This window comes from Homo sapiens, chromosome 15 (genome assembly GCF_000001405.40).
Source record: "Homo sapiens chromosome 15, GRCh38.p14 Primary Assembly".
NCBI classification, from domain to species: domain Eukaryota; kingdom Metazoa; phylum Chordata; class Mammalia; order Primates; family Hominidae; genus Homo; species Homo sapiens.
Genome location: NC_000015.10, coordinates 89,399,015 through 89,420,123, shown reverse-complemented (window position 1 = coordinate 89,420,123; position 21,109 = coordinate 89,399,015). Strand labels below are relative to the sequence as shown.

General features: G+C 53.3%; 1 long non-coding RNA gene across 1 annotated transcript, besides 9 other annotated features; it reads right to left on the bottom strand.

Moving 5' to 3' along the window:
- Positions 1-224: 224 nt before the first annotated feature.
- On the bottom strand, positions 225-19,953 carry LOC105371031 (uncharacterized). The gene is made up of 3 exons (NR_160724.1): positions 19,752-19,953; positions 9,423-9,569; positions 225-666 (listed from the first exon to the last, which is right to left on the bottom strand). It is a non-coding gene; the product is annotated as an uncharacterized LOC105371031 (long non-coding RNA).
- Positions 2,880-3,388: an enhancer, noted in NCBI's record as "H3K27ac-H3K4me1 hESC enhancer chr15:89959967-89960475 (GRCh37/hg19 assembly coordinates)". NCBI's record gives its function as "activates a minimal SCP1, AML or CMV promoter by ChIP-STARR-seq in primed H9 embryonic stem cells {active_cell/tissue: H9 hESC(primed)}" and the evidence as "EXISTENCE:reporter gene assay evidence [ECO:0000049][PMID:30033119]".
- Positions 3,389-3,898: an enhancer, noted in NCBI's record as "H3K27ac-H3K4me1 hESC enhancer chr15:89959457-89959966 (GRCh37/hg19 assembly coordinates)". NCBI's record gives its function as "activates a minimal SCP1, AML or CMV promoter by ChIP-STARR-seq in primed H9 embryonic stem cells {active_cell/tissue: H9 hESC(primed)}" and the evidence as "EXISTENCE:reporter gene assay evidence [ECO:0000049][PMID:30033119]".
- Positions 3,472-3,766: an enhancer, noted in NCBI's record as "tiled region #3595; K562 Activating DNase unmatched - State 12:CtcfO". NCBI's record gives its function as "activates a minimal TATA promoter and a strong SV40 promoter by Sharpr-MPRA in K562 cells {active_cell/tissue: K562}" and the evidence as "EXISTENCE:reporter gene assay evidence [ECO:0000049][PMID:27701403]".
- Positions 11,849-12,446: an enhancer, noted in NCBI's record as "NANOG-H3K4me1 hESC enhancer chr15:89950909-89951506 (GRCh37/hg19 assembly coordinates)". NCBI's record gives its function as "activates a minimal SCP1, AML or CMV promoter by ChIP-STARR-seq in naive and primed H9 embryonic stem cells {active_cell/tissue: H9 hESC(naive and primed)}" and the evidence as "EXISTENCE:reporter gene assay evidence [ECO:0000049][PMID:30033119]".
- Positions 17,981-18,220: an enhancer, noted in NCBI's record as "active region_10052". NCBI's record gives its function as "activates an Ori minimal core promoter by ATAC-STARR-seq in GM12878 lymphoblastoid cells {active_cell/tissue: GM12878}" and the evidence as "EXISTENCE:reporter gene assay evidence [ECO:0000049][PMID:35858748]".
- Positions 18,950-19,474: an enhancer, noted in NCBI's record as "H3K27ac-H3K4me1 hESC enhancer chr15:89943881-89944405 (GRCh37/hg19 assembly coordinates)". NCBI's record gives its function as "activates a minimal SCP1, AML or CMV promoter by ChIP-STARR-seq in primed H9 embryonic stem cells {active_cell/tissue: H9 hESC(primed)}" and the evidence as "EXISTENCE:reporter gene assay evidence [ECO:0000049][PMID:30033119]".
- Positions 19,475-20,000: an enhancer, noted in NCBI's record as "H3K27ac-H3K4me1 hESC enhancer chr15:89943355-89943880 (GRCh37/hg19 assembly coordinates)". NCBI's record gives its function as "activates a minimal SCP1, AML or CMV promoter by ChIP-STARR-seq in primed H9 embryonic stem cells {active_cell/tissue: H9 hESC(primed)}" and the evidence as "EXISTENCE:reporter gene assay evidence [ECO:0000049][PMID:30033119]".
- Positions 19,475-20,036: a biological region, named in NCBI's record as "H3K27ac-H3K4me1 hESC enhancer GRCh37_chr15:89943355-89943880".
- Positions 19,547-20,036: a silencer, noted in NCBI's record as "silent region_6796". NCBI's record gives its function as "represses an Ori minimal core promoter by ATAC-STARR-seq in GM12878 lymphoblastoid cells {active_cell/tissue: GM12878}" and the evidence as "EXISTENCE:reporter gene assay evidence [ECO:0000049][PMID:35858748]".

The window sequence follows — 21,109 nt, the reverse complement described above, 5'->3', positions numbered from 1 at the left end:
ACAGAAACTCCATCCTTCCAGGTGCTCAACCTCAAACCCCCAGGGTCATCCTTGACTCCACTATTTCTCTCCTACACACCCCTCTAATGTCTCAGCAAATGTAAGCAGTTCTATCTTCAAAATATATCAGAATTAGGCCAGTTCTAACCCATCACCACCATCCTGATAGGCGATTAATGTGGAAGAAGCAGACAGGGGCTAGATCATTGAGGGGGAGGGGTATCTTAGCTCTAGCAAGAACGTTTAAGTTTTATTCTGAATGATATGGAAAACCATATGAGTACTTTACATAGGATCAGATTTGCTTCTTGAAAAGACCACTCTGGGTACTGAGCGGAGAATGAATTGAGGAGGCAAGACGAGAAGTGGTGAATCCAGTTAGGTGGCTATTAAGGTTTCGGGGAATGATGATGGCGTGGACTACTTCCCTTCCAGGCAGAATCTCCCATCTGAGATGGGAGAGCCCGTCTCAGAGGCGGAAAGGCTGACCCAGGAAGTGCCTGAACAAGTGAGCCTCTGTCGGTGACCCCAACGGAGGCAGCCCGAGTTTCAGCACCACTGGGAGGACAGCTCCCATCTCGCCTCAGAGCCAGAGAATCCAGAGCCTCTGCACTGAGGCGAATCCTGCAGAGTCTTGGGGTCCAGCGCTGTCTCAGAGGCTGGTGGCTAGAAGAAAAAGGCAAATGCCCTTTCTCTGAAAACTTGTGTTTGCTACCCTTCATAATGGAGATAACGATGCCGCCACCGCCAAGCCAGACCCTTATGGATTTTAGGGGTCACCAGTGGAAGGGGAGACCCAAAGCAAACCCTCTGAAAATAGCGTCTGTGACAGACACCGGAGTTTATTTCCCCGACTTTGGAAAATTTTAAAAGATGCCAGATGTGCAGTAGGTTGGGGGAAGGGGCGTTTCTGCGCAGCTCCTGGTAGTCTGCACTGCTCTGTTGTGTCTCTGCTAACAAAGCTCCGAAGAACTAAGTTGCTTCTCTGAGAGCTGGACAGTTAAATCATTCCAGACCCAGTGCAGATTTTCTCCCTCCAATGGCAGAGTTTCTCTAGGATGGGGTAGTGAGAGGCCTGCCCTCTACTCCTGGCCCTCGTAGCTCTGTCCTCTCTAACTGAATCTAGTTTCCCCTGATCACTTTTGAACTGGATTGATTTTTTAATCTGGAGCTCATCAGGATTCCTCTTCCAGGAGTTGGGGGATGCCACTTGGCGTCTGCACCTGGGGAAGCCTCGCTGTGCCAATTCTGGCTCCTAAAGGTGCTGTCAGGAGGGTCAGGGAAGATGGGAAGGGTCTCAGCTTTCTCACTCAGAAATGACCTTTGGGTTTCAGAACCCCAAAGAGGAGCTTTCTCTCAGCTTCCCTATGAGAGGGGAAAGGGAGCAGCAAAGACTCTGACCTTGACCTTAGGGATACCCCAGACCACAGTGGGAGCTCACCCTGTCATGGCCATCTGCTCCACAGTGCTAAACCCACCATGTCTGCCATTGCCCAGGTACACATGGGCACCCTGTGCCCACCTAGCCTCCCTGCACTAGGTGGGGGCTTGATCCTTAGGCAAGCTTTGTCCTGGAAATGTCCCTTAAATGGGCCAGGCTCCAACTTCAGAACCACCCCGCTCTAAGGGATATCATAAGTCAGATGCAGAAGTCGGGCGGGGGGGGGATGCCAGGACTAGGTTTTTGGTGTGAAGGCAAGGCCAGACCAGACCTAGAATCAAATCCCATCCCCTTCTCTTTTTGCTCCCTCATTATGTGACCTGGGGTAAGTCACTTTTCACTTCACTGCTCCTGGCCTTAGGTTCTGCCCCTGTGAAATGGGGGGAAGTAGCTCCTCCCAAGGAGCTGCTGTTGGGAGTCACTGAAACAAAAGTAAACCTCTGGTCAATGCCCCATAATTGGCCCTCTGTTGATAAAATATGAATGCCCTTCCTGGAAAAGGGATACCTGAGGAGACTTCATAGAATTAAGGGAGACTTCCCCTCCCACAACCAGCCCATATCCTGTATCTTTCTAGACCCCCGCAACCTCCGATGGGGACTGGGCAAATATACTGCCACCCAAAAAGTGAGGGCCTGAAGGTGACCTGTCTTCACCAGGTTCCCACTTCAGTTCCTCAGATCAAGACCCCAAGTGAAGGAGACCTCTGCTCTCAGCCAGAATTATCCTGTGTGCCTCTCCTCCCTCCTGGGGTCCCAGCACTCCATTTTAGGAACTTTAAAAGGGGCCTGAGAAACAACAGGAGGCTTCTAGCTGGCTGCCCCAGGAACAAGGGCATCTGCTCCCTTTCATCAAGACTTCCACTACCCCATCCGTAAAACTGGGAGAAAGACTCCTCAGATGAGGATTAAACGACACAAAAATCCAGCAAGGCATTCAACACTCGGTCTTGACAGGCGTCCACAGAGGTTTACAGTCTCCCTGAAGACGCTTGCTCGCACTCCACTGAGGGGCTGGTATTTTGGCTCCCAAGGGTTCAAGAGGTTAAAAGATTTGGCCGAGTTCACACAGTTGGAAATGTGGAGCTCGACGACTCCAACCCAACTTCTCTAGGAGCAGAGTGTCTGGGAGGGCAGAAGCCAAGCTCCTGAGCCTGCCAGGCCAAACGCCGCGGGCCAGGAGTGGGCAGGGGCGGCGGGACTGCCAGCTCCCTCACTAGATCCGCTGGTTCAGCCACTGTTCCGGGACCACTTGGGCCAGCAGGGAACCGAGCGCATGTGCCCCCGGCCCCACCCTCTTCAGATCTCGCTCTTACCTACAGGGCCAAACCCGCCTGCTCTGGGGCGAAGGTAAAACCGTCTCCAATCATTTGCTCCTCAATATCTTTCTGATTCTGGCATCTTTTGAGCCGAGGTGCAACTCCTTTTTCCAATTAGCTGCTATGATGAACTGTCGGGAGCTCTGATATTTGAAAATATCTATGAAAACTACTCCATACATACATAGATGCATGCATATATACATAAACACATACCAGGGCCCCCAGATTAGCTGTCCCTCCAGCTGCCGACCCGCCACCGCAGAGTAGTGGACGAGAAAACCTGGCGCTGCCGGAAGCAGAATGAGGAATGTCCCGTTCAAGGCCAGATCCCATGTGGCACCCCTGCCCCATGCCAAGGTGGAGTCTCCGGGCTTTACCTCTTCCCGGTCTAGCCGCAGGGATGGGGGAAGGGTGGGGTGCGGGGGGATGGTACTGTTTCCACCCCAAAACTGCCATGAGGAGGCCCCTTGTACGCACACCTGCAGCCCGGAGTGTCCCCGCCAGGCAGCTTTACTTCGCTAAGTGAGTTGTACTGAGTGCCTGCTCCGAGCCGGGTGCAGCGGAGAAGCAGAGCTCCTGGTGGCCCTCCTGCAGCATAGGCACGCACCGACTCGGGATAGCGGCCGGGCATCGCCCTCAGCCCCGCGCTTCCCAGGCCAGGCCCCGCCGGGAACCAAACCCGTGCCCCGCTGCAGCAAAGCGACATTCGCCCTCAGGAAGTCGGCCCTGTAGGTCTGCGTTGGTTCAAAAGCACCTCACTGCGCCCTCTCCAAGCCCCCACTTCCCAGTCATCCTGACTTCACGGCGCCCCCCAGCGCCTGACGGGGGCACTGCACACAGTAGGCGCTCGGTCAAGGGTAATTCCCTCCCTCCTTGAGGTCTGGAGCCGGCAAGTGATGACTACCTGGGCTCCCCCTGCTGGAGACCGCAGTAACGACCTGAGGCCCCATCCTCTCCGAACGCTTATTTTTTTTAACTACTGGAGACTCTCAGCCCACCTTCCACCCCATCTCCGCCTCCTGCCAGTTACCGGGCAGAGGCTATCAGGAAGATCTTATTTTCCCACAACTTTATCCTGAATGCAAACAAAATGAAAAATGCACACATTTACCCAACAAATATTTACTGAGCACTCACTTTAATATTAATCACCACAGCGAACGCTGAGTACTTACTGCATGGAAGGCATTGTTGGGCTCTTTTACATGTATCAGCTCATTTAATCCTCACAACAACCCTAGCAGGGTGGTATTATTATTATTCCCACTTTGCAGTTGAAGACACCCAGGCCCAAAAAGATGTGGCCAAGCTCTCTCAAAGAGGGGAACAGGCTTTGAACCGGGATGTCTCCGGATCCCTGGCTCCTAACCATTACATTACACCATGGAACGCCATGGTAAAATTAAAATATATACATATATATATATATATATATATATAAAAGACATCACAAGTGGCTTCAAAGCATCCCTTGTTCTCTAATTCACACTGTGAAATTTGTCCTACGAAGAGAAACAGACACACGTTTTACCTAGAGAGAGATGTTGAGGTTTTCTGGTCATTTTCTGGGTATGCATTTGCTTGGGCCCCCAGCAGATATAAGAGTAATATTATATCTCCTGGTTGCCCAACATATTGGTTGCCCCACGTATTGAACAAGATGTAAGGTTAAAAAAAAAGTATGCAAACAACTACCAGTCTGAGGTCCCCACCCCATCACTTCAAAGCTGTACTTCCTTCCAGAATAGAAGAGAATGAGGCTCCATAAGACTCAGTGGACTGTTCTTCACTCCTAAGAAGTCAGGAGCATGAAGAAGCCTAACCTACCTCTTTTGGACACTCTTCCCACCCCGCCCCAGCAAACTGAATTAATCACACTCTTTATGAGCCTCTCCTTTGTTCCCAGAGACCCTGAATGGGTCCAGCCACTCCCCTCACTAAGAGCCTGGGCGCAACTTTGGTGGAGGTGATAAGTGCCATGGTAAAGGTACACTGTGCAGAGTGAGTTAGGGTGAGACCACCCACCTTGGGAAGGGGGCCACGGTGAGAAAGCCATGGATCTAGACCAGGAGTACAAGAATTTTAGAATGGAGAGAGCCCTTAGAGGCCAGCTAATGCATCACTTATCCAGCTCAAAGACTTGCAAGATGCAGGGCCAGATGCGGTGGCTCACGCCTATAATCCCAGCAGTTTGAGATGCTGAAGCAGGCAGATCACTTGAGACCAGGAGTTCAAGACCAGCCTGGCCAACATGGCAAAACCCCATCTCTACTAAAAAATACAAAAATTAGCCAGGTGTGGTGGCACACACCTGTAATCCCAGGTACTTGGGAGGCTGAGGCACAAGAATTGTTTGAGCCTGGGAGGCAGAGGTTGCAGTGAGCCGAGATCATGCCACTGAACTCCATCCTGGGCGATAGAGCGAGACTGTCTCAAAAAAAACAACAACAACAACAAAAAAAAAAACTTCCAAGGTGCCACAACTGTGCCTTGGGCACAGGATGTTAAGCGATCCACTTCAGTCCCTGATACCAACATTCCATTGTGGAAACTAGAGACCCATTACATCACTTTCCTCTCTGCCCCAGCCTTATCTCTGTCCCCTGGCCCAGGCCTATCTATTAACTGTGTGTGTCTAGCTTTCCCATTTAAGACTCTAAGATCCTTTGAAGACAGGCTTGTATGTTACTCACCACTGTATTCCAAGCACTGGGCACAGGGTCTGATAGAGAGTAGGAGCTGAACTAAATAAATGAATTATCCCACAACATCTCTGCTTGGCTATCATGCTGCCCCTATTGGAATCCTCCTAGAGATGAGGCACTAGCTATTTCTCCATGGGACTGCATCCCTGTGCGTCAGTTAGCAGGTGAGTTCTCCTGTCTGCAGACTCCCAGACCTAGTTATCACCCTCTGAGCCTTTCCTGAATCCTGAAAAAAGCTACTGATTGTACCAGACAGCCAGACACCTGGCTTCTGTCCTTGGAGCATGGTCCAATCTTGAAAAGGGAGATCTCTTCTCCCCAAAGGACACAGGAGACCCAACTGAGCCCCAGAGAACCCAGCCCACTTGGGGGCTGAGTTCATAGCACAGTGTGTAGCTGAGTGGGGGCTTATCCTCAAAACTCCCTTGCATGTCTGGTAATGAGTGTCTGGGAGAGGCTGGCCAGAAAATATGGAAACACTGTAATGTCATGTTGGTTCTATAGTATTTTCCTGAGTTTTCACATGTCAGTGTGAGCCAGAGGATGGGCATGCATCCATGCATGTGTGTGCATGTCAAACTACTTGCACATAGGCTGAGCATGGACCTAGGAATGCGGCCAGAAGCAAGTCTATATCCTGGGGAGGAGGGGTGGTGCGCCACAGTGTGCACAGGCTGGTGAATGCCCCCAGAAAAACTGGGGTCTGGATGACCCTAAGGGTGTATGTATGTATATGAGTATGCAGGAGTGTGTGTGTGTTCACAAGCAATCTGAGTGGCTGGCCGTGTGTGTGTGTGTGTGTGTGTGTGTGTGCACAGATATAAAGACAAACTGCAGTCTGGTTCTGTCTGGGTAACATGTGTGTGATGTGTGTATATTTACAAGTATTTCCTAACCTAGTTTAGTGACGTTGTAATCTTGTGGCTGAGCATGCATGTGTACATGTATGTGTATATATGTGTGTTTACAATGTAATCTCAAGCCTGCATGTGAGTGACTAGTGTGACCGTGTGTGTTTGTGTTTTACATGCACATTCCAGCCTGGTTCCATACCCCAAGACCCCATAGAATATGAAGGTCCTCTGATGAGCCCAGTACATCCTGACGCTGGCTGAGTGCTGGGTGGAGTATGTATAGGTGACTGGTGTTTACCAGCAACTTTGACCAGCCACCAGCCTTTGTCTGGTGCCCACTTCCCATGGCCCCTAAATTCCTCACCCTGGTAGGACCCTGGCTGTCCTTGCTCTGGACTGCCTTCCCCAAGGAGTCCCTTTAACTCACAGCCCCTTTCCTGGCCAGGGGGCTGGGAGTTGGGGGATATTCATCTCGGGGAGTTTTTGTTCTGCCTCATGAAAAGCCTCAATGGCTGGGAATACCATTCTAATTACGGGGAAGCCCAGCTTATGTGGGGGACACAAAGGGCTGTGGTCTCATAGCAGCTCCTTCCATCCGTCAAATAAGGCCGTCTAATGACGGGGTGAGAGCTGTGAATGCCTAAAACAAACTCGAAAAGGAGGGAAAATAAAGCCGCCGGGGGCTTAAAATATATTAAATTACCCTGATTAGGAGCCGTGGCTTTGCAGGCACTAGTTGGAGAGGCTGGGGAGGCTGTGAGTCCCACTATTCATGTCAGGGGGGAAGAGGGGTCAGTAGGTCGGGGGCGGGGGGTGTTCACAGAGCCCTAGCCCATTCTCATGCTAACACCAGGGACACACTGCAGGCTTACTGGGCTGGAAAATAGAAATGAATTTGCCGTAATCCTCCTTCTTCTCTCGTTCTCTCTCTCTCTCTCTCTCTCTCTCTCTCTCTCTCTCTCTCTCTCTCTCCCTCTGCAGCCCAGGAGAAGCTTTGCCTAATCACAGCCTGTTAGAGCCTGCTGGGCATTGGGGCAGAGCCACACCCCAGAGCCTGTGTCCCTCAGCCCTCTCATCCCCTTGCCCCTTTCTGTGGGGTCCAGAATGAGAATGGGCTCCAGGGCACACGTGAAGGAGCAGTAAAGGCAGGCGGTGGGGTTCCAGTGGATGGGGAGTGCCAGGCCCTTTTCCAGCGTACAATTATTTACAATCCACAATTACCCCTTTAAGCACATGTACACAATTCACAGACACAAATATCCCTTTACTCTTCACACAACTCCTCACAACACATCCCTTCACAAACACACACTTAGATAGGCACAAATACATCTGTACACAATATGCTTCTTCAAGGGCAAATACACATCTACTCCTTCAAGGGCAAATACACACAAATACACACAGGCACCCACGGAGCTCTTTACAGGCACCCACGCATGGAGACATAGCCCTTCTCAGACGGCCATAGGCTGCCTCCAACACACACATGCACCAACACGTGCACCAACACATATGTGCATACCCATGCAGACTCCTGCACACCCCTTCAGGCATACCTCCAGAACCACGACCTAGTACAACTGCAATGTTTCACAACGGAGGAAACTGAGGCTTAGAGGGCAGCGGAGGGGCCGCCCTTCCCCAGCGCTAGTTGAGTCAGCCCTGTTTTTAAGTGCTGCAGGACCTTGGATAAGTCGTTGCCCTCTCAGGGCCTCAGTTTCCTGCTATTAAAGAGGGTGTTTGGACTAACGTTCTAGAAAACCCTTCCAGCTCAGAAATTGGTTGGAGCCAGTCTCAGGGACTATCTCTTGTGTCCCTCCCCTGCTTCTGCACACTCAGGTGGATGTCCGCGCCTCCACGGTGCACATAATGAATCCCTCCAGTGTTCGCACGGTTACAAACTAGAGGGTCCGTTGGGGAGTCCCGTACCCACACCCTCGCAGGTCCCGCTGTAAGTGGCTCCGCCGTCCCGCCCGCCCACAGTCAACTGCGCGCTCCTTCCTGTGATTTTTGTCGGTGCGACTATCCCGGTTTGGGACGTGAGGGTGTCAGGTGTGGCTCTGAACCACCAAGCCCCACAGCGTGGCGCCAGGGACCCGGGAGAGGCGCCCGAACATGCTCCTCTCGGGCCCCCGGCGCCCTCTGTCGGCGGATCTGGAATAGGAGCGCCCGGAGGAGGCCCGACGCGTGCACGTGACCCTGCGACCTGACCCCGGGAGTCTGCACAATGCAACCTGCGCCCGCTAGTTCTCGGCTTGGCCGTGGGGAGCCAGGGATCCCTAGGCCAGACTGGAACAGAGACCACCAGAGTGAACTGAACAGATGGAGCGTGGGAAGCGCAAGACCGGCCCCGCCACCCCCTTCCCCCCGCGTGGCCCCTAGGAACACCCCTATCTGCCAGCCCCCCACACAGAGCAAGCGCGCGCGGGGGTATGCAGAGCACCCAGGCCACAGCGGGCACACCAGGGCCGGCTGCCTGCTGCTAGCGAACCTGAGCCCATTGGCCTCAGCGTTTCCATCCGTGATGTGGCAGCCAAAGTGTGCCAGGGAGAAGCCCCGGGAAGTTCAAGAACCTACCTCCCACCTACCCCAGGCAGAGAAGGCAAGGACCCGCGAGCCCCCACCAGATAGCCCACAAGGGCACCCGGCTCAGCCGAGGCTGCTGCTGCCCCTCTTTCCTGGAAGGCAGCGCCAGGGCTGAGCTAAGCCGCTTGCTGAAAGTCTGTCGGGACAAAACCTGAAACTGCAGTGGGGAAAGCTGGTGCAACCGAGATCCTTCTAGCCTGGGCATCAAGACGCTCTAAGTGGTGATCTGACGTCATGGGAGTTAAGCAGGGTCCTGGGGAACCAAAAGCCACCAGCTTTAAGATGGACGCTCCTGGTGTAGGCTAGATTGTTTCAAGGAACCCAGGGGTTTCAGTAGCCGACATGAGAGGGGGACCACAGATCCCTCCCTAACCCCTCCAAGGGGTCCGAGGCTTGCACGTGATGACTATCCAGGGGCCACAAGTACTCCCAAGGAGGGATGTGAGAGCCCAAATCTCAGGCTCTGGCACTTGGTGCTCCATCCTTGCCCCTGCGGACACGCTGCTCCCTACCTGGTCTCAGGTTTGCTAGTCCCTCACTGGAGCTGTCTTTTTGGGGTTTATCTAGGTGGAACCCCACGTGCCTTCTCCCGGCTTCCCAGCTCCAGGTCAGCTTCCTGCACACTGCTGTCATGGGCGGAGGCACTCCCGTGGCTACCCCTTCAAAAGAACCAAGATGAAGGGGGGTGATTAGTGAGGGTGAGCTGTAGTGGGGAGATTTGGGGAGGTGGGAGGTTTGAGGACAAGCCACACTATGTGAGAGGGCTGGGCTTATGCTCTTTCCTGCGGCCTGAGTCCAGTCTGGAGGGCCTCGACCCCAGGGTTTCCGAAACGGCTGTCCCAGGCCTCGGGCCTGGCTGCACCATGCCAGTCAGGGAACCGGCCCTGGGGGAGCCCTGCTCTGCCCTGATTCAATTCCACTTCTCCTTGGTCTTCTGTGGGGGATCTGCTTGGGACCCCAAGGGACGCAAGAATGTGAACGAAGGGCGTGGCTGAGAAGGGTGAAATGAGGTCTCCTAAGAGAGAGGGAGTCGAGTTGAAGCCTTTACCACTTCCACCACGCTCTGCTCCAGCCGTGCCTTGGGGGCCAGTCCCGGGCCTGGAGAGAGCGTGCAGGCGCCCTCTCTTACTTGTCCCCCAAACCTTTTCCGGCCGCGCTCACCGCCCATAAATTCCATAAATTTGTGAGGGCGCGCACACACCTACGCCATCAAGGCATTTAACACAAACACACAAGAGCAACGAATTCGAATTCCAGAATTTTCACCACATAAAATTAAGCTTCACCTGGGGAAGCTCATCCCCTGCACCTGGAGGTGGGGAGATGGCGCAGAAGAAGGCGCTTGTGAGATGCCCTGCGGAGCTGGAGGGAATCCCTACTCCCCGCCCTCTTGGCGGCTTCCCGCGGCCGCGACCTGGAGCCCTTGTTCCAGGACTAGGAAGGCTCGGGGCTGACTCCACGGGGACTAAACGAGCCTGCGTGGGCTGGAGGCAGCCCGAAAGCCACGAAACAGAAGTGTCTGGTTTTCCCGCAGGGGTCCGATTTGCAACCGGTAAGGCCGGAGATATTGGGAATTTGGAGCCGTTCCTACTTTAAAGCCTACGTCCAGAAGTCACCTTCGCCCCACAGTGTCTGCCCTCATGTAAATGGCCCTCCCATCAGTTACCTCCCGTGAATCATAACGACAAACAAGATCTTGTTATTTTTCTAGAATATTCCAAAAATGAGCATCTGTGTTTGGAGCGAATTCCAGCGGGGCCGAGCTTGTCTTCTCCGGCATGATGGCACCGCCAGGGCTCTGGGAGGATCTCCGGGCCAGGCGCCGGCCTAGTGACTGGGGCTGGGAGGAGCTGGGGAGGCATGGCCATTGGCGTTTCTGCGTAGAACCGCAGCCCAGGGATCCCGCATCCGGCCCCGCAGCAGTCTCGGGTTCTCTGGCGCGCCCGCTCGCCTCTCGAGAACCTAGTCCCCGCGCAGGCCTCCCCACATCGGAGCCGGGAACACCCTCCAGCACCGTCGCAGGACCCCGAGGGTCCTACCCAGTCATTAGCAAGAGTCGAGGCTGGATTTTCAGCGGCCGCCTGCGTTCAGTATAAATGGAACGTGCTAGGAAACTCCGATATGCAGCGATTTTCTAAACATCCCGTTATCCCTGAAACCCGTGTGGCCACCGCCATGAGTCATGCAAGGACTGGGCGACAGAAGCTCTGAGCTTCTATTTGTAAAACACAGAATAAATCGGGAGAGCTGAATGAAGACAAAGCCATTTTTAAACGTTCGATCGGTGAGATCTCCCCCACTTAGCAAACGCTTTCATTTTCAGAGCTGCCTGTGGCCTTACGCAGGTTCAGAAAATCGATTGTATTCCTGGGTGAATTCCACCCAGGGAACCGAGTCCTGGGAATGCGCGCCCATGTACACAGAAAGCCCACATTTTAGAAGGAATGTATGAGTGAAAAAGAAGCAAGTATTCCGGACGCAAATGAGTTTGTAAATTTACTCTCTTGCCTTCGTGGGGATCTTCAAATTGTTTACCCTGCTTTTATTCCCTCTGTGGTGCTGCCACGGGTGCGCGGGCTGAGCAGGCCGCCCTTCTCCCCACTTGGAGAACTCTGAAACCTGAGGGCCTCTGCCGGAAGCTGCTGTTCGGCCCATCCGGGTTCCCAGAGGAGCCACTTTTCCTCCTACTAGCCCGGGGATTGCAAAGTATCTGGATCCTTAAATTCTCTATCCCATATGCCCAAGACTTAAGAGCCAGACCCAGATGTGGGGCCCAACTGGGGGAAAGTAGGGGAACCCAGGGTACAGCTGGGGCCCACCCGACCAATGCTGGCAGGCACCACAGACACCTCGGTCCACCTTTCCAATATTTTGCTCAATGTTTGGGGTACCCAAGGGGCAGCGTGCCCGCATGTTGATGCAAGTGTGACCCCTGTGGCTGGAACGCCGGACAGGGCTTTCCTAAGGCCCTGCATTCCGCGCACTGACTTTTCCTATCAATGGGAGAGACGCAGGCTATTGACCCAACGGCCTCCTCCTCGCCGCCTATTGTCGCGGCTCAATCGCGCACTTACCGGAAGAAAAGCGAGTTTATCTTAGCTTGGAGGAGCCTCGTGTTGCGAGTGTGTGTGTGTGTGTGTGTGTGTGTGTGTGTGTGTGTGTGTGTCTCAAGGGTGAGGGGAATTCTGCAACCAGAACTGCGCAGATGGGTTGTGGATAGACAATTTCAGAAAAGGGCCAATTTCCCCTTCACAATGAGCGCTAAGTACCTGATAAATGGGGTTGGTGTTTATTCATGAGCAGGTACTTGGAGACGGCGATTAGAACAGCCGCCTGCGCTGCCTCGCCAAGGTACTTAAATCCGGGCAGGTGCAGCGCGGCGCGCGGCCCCAGCTCACAAAGCCCGCGGCCGCCGTGGAGCTGGGAGAGGCGTGGGAGCTGGGAGAGGCGTGAAAGCTGGTCGCGCCGGGCCCCGAGGGCGCGCTGCGCGCAGGCACCTTAGTCCTTTGTTCCTCACTGGAAGCCAAGGCCACTTCACCAAGGGGCGCCCCGGGAAAACCTCCCCTTTAATTACTAGGAATTTCCCTTCTTCACTCCTCTGGGAGCCCAGCCGGGCAACTATAGGTCTGGCGGCCGCGGAGACTCAGCGTGGGTCCAGGCTTGGCGTTTGCATAAATGCTGCCTGTGAGCTGTCTATTAGCTAACCGGCTAAGTAACTAACTAAAATAGGAAGAAACAGAACCCAGGCCTGGGAACCGCGCGGGCACGCGGCTCTGGTCGCCCCCGCCGCCTAGGCGCCACCTCTGGCGGTGCGGGCAACCTCGGGCTTTCAGGTTTTGTTTCAACTCCAAGGGGAGAAAATTGGGGTCTGTCTCTTTCTACAGCTTCCTGGCGCCGAGGTCGTGGGACAAACCCGATCTCGCCCTCAGAGCGGCTGCGGAATCTCTAACAACTCCCAGCTTTTGCTCACGAGAGGCGGCCTCTCCTCGACGCGCGCGGAGAGAGCTCAGCAAACGCCAAGACCTTGGGGGACAGAGCGCAGGATCCTCTGCGCTTGCGGACTGGGAGCGGGCGGAGGGACTCCTGGGGCTGCTCCCAGAAATCTTGTCTGATATACCACTAGTAGCTCAGGTGCTTGGGGTACGTAGCGTCCGGAGGTCTGAGGCAATAATGGCTGGCGCACCTTCAGCCCGACTCCTCAGGCCTGCCCGGATGCCTCTTAAAAAAAAAAAATCTTTTCGAAAAGCAGATCCAGATTTTTCTCCAGTGCAGAAAGTCAGAGAGGAGAAACCTGTTTCAAACAAGTTGGATTTCCTTTGGGGAGAAAATTCTTTCAGAGTGATAGGAAACAAGGCACAGGGACCTGAAGTCACCCACTGCGAAGAACCCGACGGCTCTCTCGCCCGATGCAGATTGACCAGGAGGCTGTAGATATTAACGTTCATTACAGATTTTCTTGGAACCTTGGGGTTAGAATAAATTATAGATAAAATAATTATGATTCCCTGGGAAATTCGACATCCCGGATGTAAGCGCAAACCGAAAGTGGTAATCCAGGGGCGCCTCGGGAAGGAAAATAGAGGTGGGTCGAGTGCCCACGGCCTGGACCGCGCATCCACCAGCCAGTCCTCTACCGAGCAGGTCTAGGGGCCAGATGTGCGGGCGGCCGAGATTTATTAAGAGAGCAAGTCTTCCTCTCGCATCTTTTGCCAGGACCTGAGTTAGGGTTCCAGGGTGAAGTGTTTTCTCCGGTTACAGCCTGAGTCTCCTGCGCCAAAGAGACGGGTGAGGTGGTTTGCAGGACAGTCTGGCAAGCCGCGGAGGGCCGAGACGCGCGCGCCGCCGCGTTGACAATGCCATGCGAATAGTCTCATTGCACGACGGCCTCGGGTAAACATTACTGAGAGGTTGAGGGGCACTGGCCTGGACGCTCAGCTCCGTACGCCGGAAAGGCATGTAGCCCACAATACCGGGCACAAGAAGCGAACGGCATCACCAGGCTGGGGTGGACAGAGCGCGGCCTCCCCTATGCCGCCCTCAAGATCATGGCCGGCCTCGGTAGGGGGCCCCGAATTTAGGCTGGAAGTAGAAAATATATTGGAATGGGTGGGGGAGTGGGGGATAAAGATGACGCATCACGAAGCAGTTTTTATATTTTCCATTCCCAAGACCTTTAAGGCACACTCAAGAGATGCAAGTGTGATCAGGAGGGCCACCAGTACTAACACTCACTACTGACTTTCTTCGCATGAAAGATTTAGAATAAATTATAAAAATACAATGAATGTGATTTCTAGGGAAACGTATGCCCAGGTGTAATCCTTGCAGCCCCCTCCTCACTTCCTTGGGGGGGCTCCCCACCCACATTTTCCCCAATCCCAAACCCTAACCCCTCACCCCTCGCTGTAAGTTTGTTTTTTCTCAAATGGAGAAAAGGCTCCCCAAACTGGCAGGAAACCATACCCTACAGAGGCATTTGAGCACATACATTCCGGGCCCGCGCGGGCACCTCCCGCCTTCTGATTTGTGTATTTCACTCTGGCTAAACCCCACTGACCTCGGGTCCCCCTCAGGCAGTCTAGTGAGTTAGGCCATGAGACCTGCCAAGCAGGAGCCCTGGGCGGGCACTGCTGGGTAAATCAGACCAAACGCACCCAAATCTGACTCCAGAACCACCAAGGGCAGAACCCTTTCCACCCATGAAAATTTTTATGTGGTTTTGGGGTGCGTTCGAACAGGAACCTCCAAAGAGTTTTGGTTACTCCAGCTACTATATCACAAATGCCTTATCTTTCTGTTTGGTGATAGAACCTCTATGTCCAGGCAGGAAAGTCAAGAACATTTCATTAACCTGGCATTCTCTTCATTGCCAGTCCAGTGACTGATGTAAAGCTGGTGCTACTAATGTCAAATTCTAACCAGAAACCACCAGGCTAGAAGATAACTCCTTGACTCACAGGGTGTGGTGCAGGCTGGCTCTTCCTGAGGCTCACTTCCCACCCCAGCTCCCTCCTCACTGCAGCAACCCCCTCCATGGGGTAGGACAGTGGTAACCTTCAAGATGGAGCCTCTTTGGGGAAACTCAGAGGAAGCCCACCCCTGCCCCCTTTCCCCTAATCCTCCATCCTCTCTCTTGGTTTGTGATGAAAGGACTAAGGTTCCTCTGACCCAGGACCAAACAAGGCAGGGATTAGGTAAGCATGTGATTGGGTAAGCAGGATCTCCCACCCACCTCACCCTTTGCAAAGCACCTTCACACACAGCATCTCCTATAATCCCCCACTTGCCAGGCCTCCCAAGGAGACACTGTCAGCTTCCTTCAGGAAATAGAAACTCAAAGAATGGATCTGGGTTACCTGGAGATCTCCTAGCAAGGAGAGGTAGAGCCAGGATTCCTCCTGGCATTCTGATTCCAAGTCCAGGGTGGTGGTCCTTGACCCTCCCCCCACAATTCCAAGGAGGATGGGGGCATCTTTCAGGCAGCCTTGTGGGATAGTATGGGGACCTGACTTGGCACCAAGAGGTGAAGACATTCAATTGAACGCCACCGTCATTCAGTCCCCACTTCTGTGCAAGGCACATACCAAGAGTGGGGAGGGCAACAAACATGGCTTCCATGGCCCCTGGCTCCGGGATGGAGAAAAGCTCCCTAAATTGGCAGGAAACCATATGCTACCAAGGATATGCCCAGAGCATGGGCAGTGCTCCAGAAGGACAAGGACAGTTCTCCAAGGACCAGATATAAGGCCCATTGGCTAATTGGACACCATGGTACCTCGAGTCCACTAAGGCCTTTAGAAACTATCTGGGACTTCTTTACAGAGTAGGCAGCTGTTTTACTCTGCTGGTAGTAGAAGTGGCTAGGCCCTTGAAGAGGCTCCAGTAAGGTAAGCAGCTCTTCTCCCCAAGACCTTGACATGCAGCCCCAGTGTGAGCTCTGCTAAGAGATCGCGATTCTAGTGTCCACTTTGATAATGGCCTCCAGCAAGTCCTTCTCCATCTGCTTGTTTCCTCAACTGCCAAGTGAGGGGGCTTGTAAAAGAAGGTTCCTAACATCTCTAACCTGGGCCTCTAAGAAGTGTGAGGGAGGGTGGCTACGGAAGAACCCCCTGCTGACTTCTAAGGACACTTGGAGAATGAGTTTTACCCAAGAGAAGTACACATTTCTTTCTGAAATTTGGTCCCTAAATAAACAGTTTGATAGTGGGATAAGGCACATAGACCCTGGAGCCAGCTCCCTGGGTTCAAATCTGCCCCCGATCTGCCAGTGAATAGCTGTGTGGCCTTGGGTCACTTTACTCAGTCTCTCTGTGCCTCAGTTTCCTCATCTCTAAATCAGAGGTCCTGGTGAGGATTAACTGGCACAGGCTAGCTATTAATATGATTTGCCCACACCCCTGGATACAGCCTTGTCCCTTCCCAGTCCTCTTGGTTTCTGCCATGGACTGTCACCATTTCTGCCCCTGTTCCACTGCCAGGATTTCAGCCTTGCCTGGATCTAGCATCTGGTCAGGAATGGGATGAAGAAGGCAGGCACCGGTGTATTGCCTGCTTGATGGGTACCTTGCCTGAGTAACCTTTTTACCTCAGCCTGTTACTTATTTTTGGATATAGAGAGAAATTGAGCCTGTCTCTGTCTCTTTCCTTAATAATACCCCCAAGTGGAGACAGCTGTGTGAAAACACGTGTCCTTGGCTTTAAGGGGTGAGAGAGTGAGGGAGACCAAGCTGACCAGTCCCACTCATGAGGAATCCTGTCAGAGGCAGGTACAGCACAGAATTTCTGATGTTTTTGTTCTCCTTACACACACACACACACACACACACACACACACACACACACACACACACGTCAGCTCCCTGAGGGCAGGGGCTTTTCTGTTTTGTTCTCTGCTGTATACCCAGTGCCTAAAACAATGGCTGGCACAGAATAAGCACTGAATAAATAAAATAAATATAAATTACTTGAAAGGAGGCAGAAGCATTCCACTGACTAGATCTATTATACTTCCATAGCACGGTCTAGTCTTAATTTATTTTCCTCATCAATAGGTAATAGAGTTTATGGCTAAGAAAGTGAAAAAGAACATGCTTCAGATTTCTCTCCTTAAGAGTCATCTTGGTCTCTAATTCTCTCAATTAGCCACAGGGCCTTTCAACCCTCCCCCCACCCACACACTCACACCTTCCTAAGTGCTGAGAGCCCAGGAGAGACAAGGTTTCAAGGGTCTGTATTTAAGACATCGGGGGTCCACAAGACCTACTGGGAGTTTGAATTATTTGCGTACAGAATGAAGCTGCTATCATTCCACAGTCCTGGCACCCCGGGCACTTAAAGCACGTGGAGATGTATCGGTGTTGTTTTTTCTTTTCTGAGTGGGGAGGGGCACTGTTTTCTGAAAATGCATAGTGACAGTAAATTGTCATTAGAGGTGATTGCTGGTAATAATAATGGCTGTCATTCAAGGATACATTTATGACTCTGGCCCTGGGCCAAACCTAGCATCTTCTTTCATCCTCACAAGTCCATGAGATGAGATCAATTTGCAAATCCATTTTACAGATGAGGATATGGAGATTTGACACAAGTCACATGGTACGTAAGGGAGAGAGCCAGAATTTGAATGAAAGACTCCAAAGGAAGCTGTTCACTGTCCCCCAACCCCTGACTCCTTTCTGTCTCTGGGTGATAAGGAAAGCAAGGAAATCCACATGAAATGTGACTTGGGAGAGGAGGCATTTAGCCACTACCTTAGGAGCAAAGCTACAAAGTCAGTAGTATAGTAAAGCACAGTGAGTCTAACCCTTCCTGCCAAGTATAAAGCCTACTGGACCTTCTTCGGGATGTGAGACTGAAGGCAAGTTACTTAACCTCTTCATACCAGTTTCCTCTTTTATAAAAGGGAGCCATCTCCTTTAGTTGGGAGGACTAAATGAGTTAATATATAAATAAATTATTGTTCTCTCAGTCTACTGCAGAGTAGTATTTATACCACCGCTTGCCAACTGTGGCTGCCTTAAATGTCCTCATTTTACCCATCCAAATTAGGGAACCTACAGGAGAAAAATAGTGGTTTGTCCGAGAGCTCAGGCCAGAAGTGCCCAGGAGGAAGAGGAAGAGTCTAGAGCAGCCTTTACAGATGGTTTTACAGACGGTTTTGCAGAAAAACGTTTCGCTTTCCCTTTTTTAAAAAGATGTAAACATCTTCCCAGGCTCCTCTGACATCAGCGTGTCAGTGATGAATCATCGGGAATCTAAACACACGCACTAGGTAGGTCAGTCTCCATTTTTAGTCAAGTTTCTGGTGGCTCCACGGAGACCTTGCAAAGGGGTCCCAAGTCATGTGCAGTTCATGAAACCTTAGCTCCTCTAAGCCCTCTGGGGGCCCCGTCAGATGAAGAGCAGAGCTGCACAGAGGCTGAGGGGATCCCTTCTGGCATTTCTTCTTCTTTTTTAAATTTTAAAGCAATTTGCATAGAATTTTTCTTTCTTTTTTTAACAGAGCACACAAAACCAACGTTTTCAGGCTGGTTCTTGCTTGCAAGTGAGAGACTTCATATGTGATGGAACAGAGGAGAGGAGCCCCTGGGAGCTGTTATATTTAAATCAATATTAAAAACAAAAATTCGACCATCTCAGTGCTTGTTAGATTTATGTGTATGTATGATTTTTTTATTCATTCATCCAGAAATGACTTCATTTACTGAGTATTTACTAAGTACTCAGATGTGCAGCTGACCCTCTGCTGAAGGTGTCAAGGGAGGGAGAGATGTGGAGAAAATCTGGGTAGGCCTCCTGGAGGAGGAGGCACTGGACAAAGTTTGGCCAATTGGAGTTGGGAAGGAATGTACTCAAGTAGGCTGGCAATTCAGCATGAGTAAAATCCCAGAAGTGAGAAATCCCAGGACAACACAGAGAAGAGGGGAAGGAACGCACAATGGGAGCAGTACAGCTGCAGGGAAAAGGCCTTCTTCCCCCTTCTAATTTGTTACTTCTAACTTGCTGTGAATTTAGAAGCCAAATATTGTGGTTGTTAGAAGAGTATGTAAAGCATGGGTACATAAATGACCTCAAAGCAAGCACCTGAGAGTGAAAGGCAGGTATAGGGGACAAGATTTGGGCCACTCAGAAGAAGCCCCCGTGCCCTTTCAACTTGGCAGTGCACTGGGTGAGGTATGAGCTAGGTACAAGCTAACACCTGTCACCGCACGGAATCCAGGAACTAGGCAAGCAGGGACAGCAAGAGGTCCCCCCGCACACACACACACAAAAGAACTCGTATGGCCCCTGCACTGCCACTAAGTCACTGCCCAGCCCAGCCCACTCCGCCCCAGCAACCACCATTTGGCCCAGGACTTTATTTTAGGCTCTGGGAATGGGATGGGGGAGTGAGTGGGCACAGCTGATTCCCCTAACAGCTGAGCCACACACACATCTCCGGCTCTTCACGAGGGGCCTCAGGACCTGGCTGAGCTAGATTCTAACTAGGATCCCCTCCAGCCAAAATCTGAGAGGAGCCAAGGAAGAGCCAGAGCCAGAAACACAGAAGGGGAGACCAAGAGGCTAGCCGAGGAGAGATGGGTGAGCCAAACGCCTTTGGGAAAGGCCGGCGATCTTACTGGGCCTCGGCTGGGCGCACTTGCCCTCCATACCCACCGCCCAGGCCTCGTACTCCCCAGAGCCCTGGAGCGACAGTGCGCCCCCCACCCCACCGGAGGCCCAGCGGGGCTGCCCAGCCGGTTTTCAGCACACCATCCTCCGCCCCGCTCCTTGGGGCCCGCGTAGTCCCAGGCGGGGGGCGGGGCACAGGGATACGGGCGAATCCCGCAAAGGGCTCTTACCTCCGCGCGGGCATCCGTCCGACCAAGCACAGTTTGCCGCTGGGACTGCGGGGTTGGGGAGGCTCCCACGGGTTCGTATCGCGCCTCCACTCCCCCCTCCACCCCCTCCCCGGCCCGAGCCCCTAGATCCTTCGGTGGCACCGAGCGGGGACACCGGGACCAGGGCACAGGCGCCGCGCCGGCGGGAGGAGGAGGCTCCTGCGGGGCGCGGCGGGGCGGGGCGGGGCGGGGGTCTCTGCTGGGCCCCGCCCGGGAGGGGGACGTGGGAGCGATTATGCCAGAGAACAAAGGCGGCCGGGTAAGGCTCAGCGCCCCCCCCCGGGCCTGGCCCTGAACTTGAACTTGTACTTGACACTTTGTCCGGAAGATGGCGGGGAAGCCCATCTGAGCTGGGACGGGGCTCTTCCGGCCACCTTCCGTCCTGGGGAGGAGGCAAGCCCGCCCTTTTCTGCGCCCAGAGGGAGCCAGGCATCCTAAGGCTCCCGGCGCGCTCCAAACAATCTTGGGCTCGTGAGTCCTGAGATCCCCGCGTTCCCTCGGAGAGTTGGAGTGCGGACGAGGTCCTGGGTCTCCGGGCCAGAGGAGTAGGCCGGGGCCCTACGCCGCGTCCCCCTCCCTCGGTCCCACCCTATCCCGGGCCTGGCCCGCCGCCCTCGCTGCGCGGGGCAGGCCGGATTCTCTGCACGTCGCGTCGGCGGCCGCTATTCAGCCGCTAATTGAACGTTAATGGCAGGTGCGGATGAGGTCACCGGAGCTGGCTTTTCTCACACATTTTTCATGCAAATTCGCGAAACTCTAAACAAATTTGAATAAAAAGCTCTTTGTGCCGCGCGCCCCCCAGTCGTCTCCCTCCCGCTCGGGGTCCTTACTCCTCCCGGTGCCCTGGGGCTCGAGCCGGGAGCCCCGGGGAGCGCCGCCTGCCGGTCAGTGGTTCTGCCCTACTAGTGGTCAAACGCGGCCCGGGCTGCTGGGGGGCGAGTGAAAGATGTTTCATTTGGGGTCGTGGGCCCGGGCTAGGTTGATGGGGCCTTTAGGGAGGTAGTGTGTGCAGTTAAGTGCCTGGCATCTGGACAGACAAACGTGACTGTGCTGGCATCCTGGCTGCAATCCCCCCTCCCCCACCACACACGGAGCCACACGGGCCACTTTGGATGGCCAACTTGGCCTCACTCTCGTTCTTGGTTAAATAGGAATAAGGATAGTGCCCAGTTATGCACACAGATGTGAGGATTAAGCCACGATTTAATACACAAACTAGCACTTAGAATAGTGGCTGGCACAGTAAGTCCTGATTATTCTCTGCAGTCCAAAGGCCTTGTGAGAATGAATGCTGTGATGAAAGCAGGGTTGTGAATTTG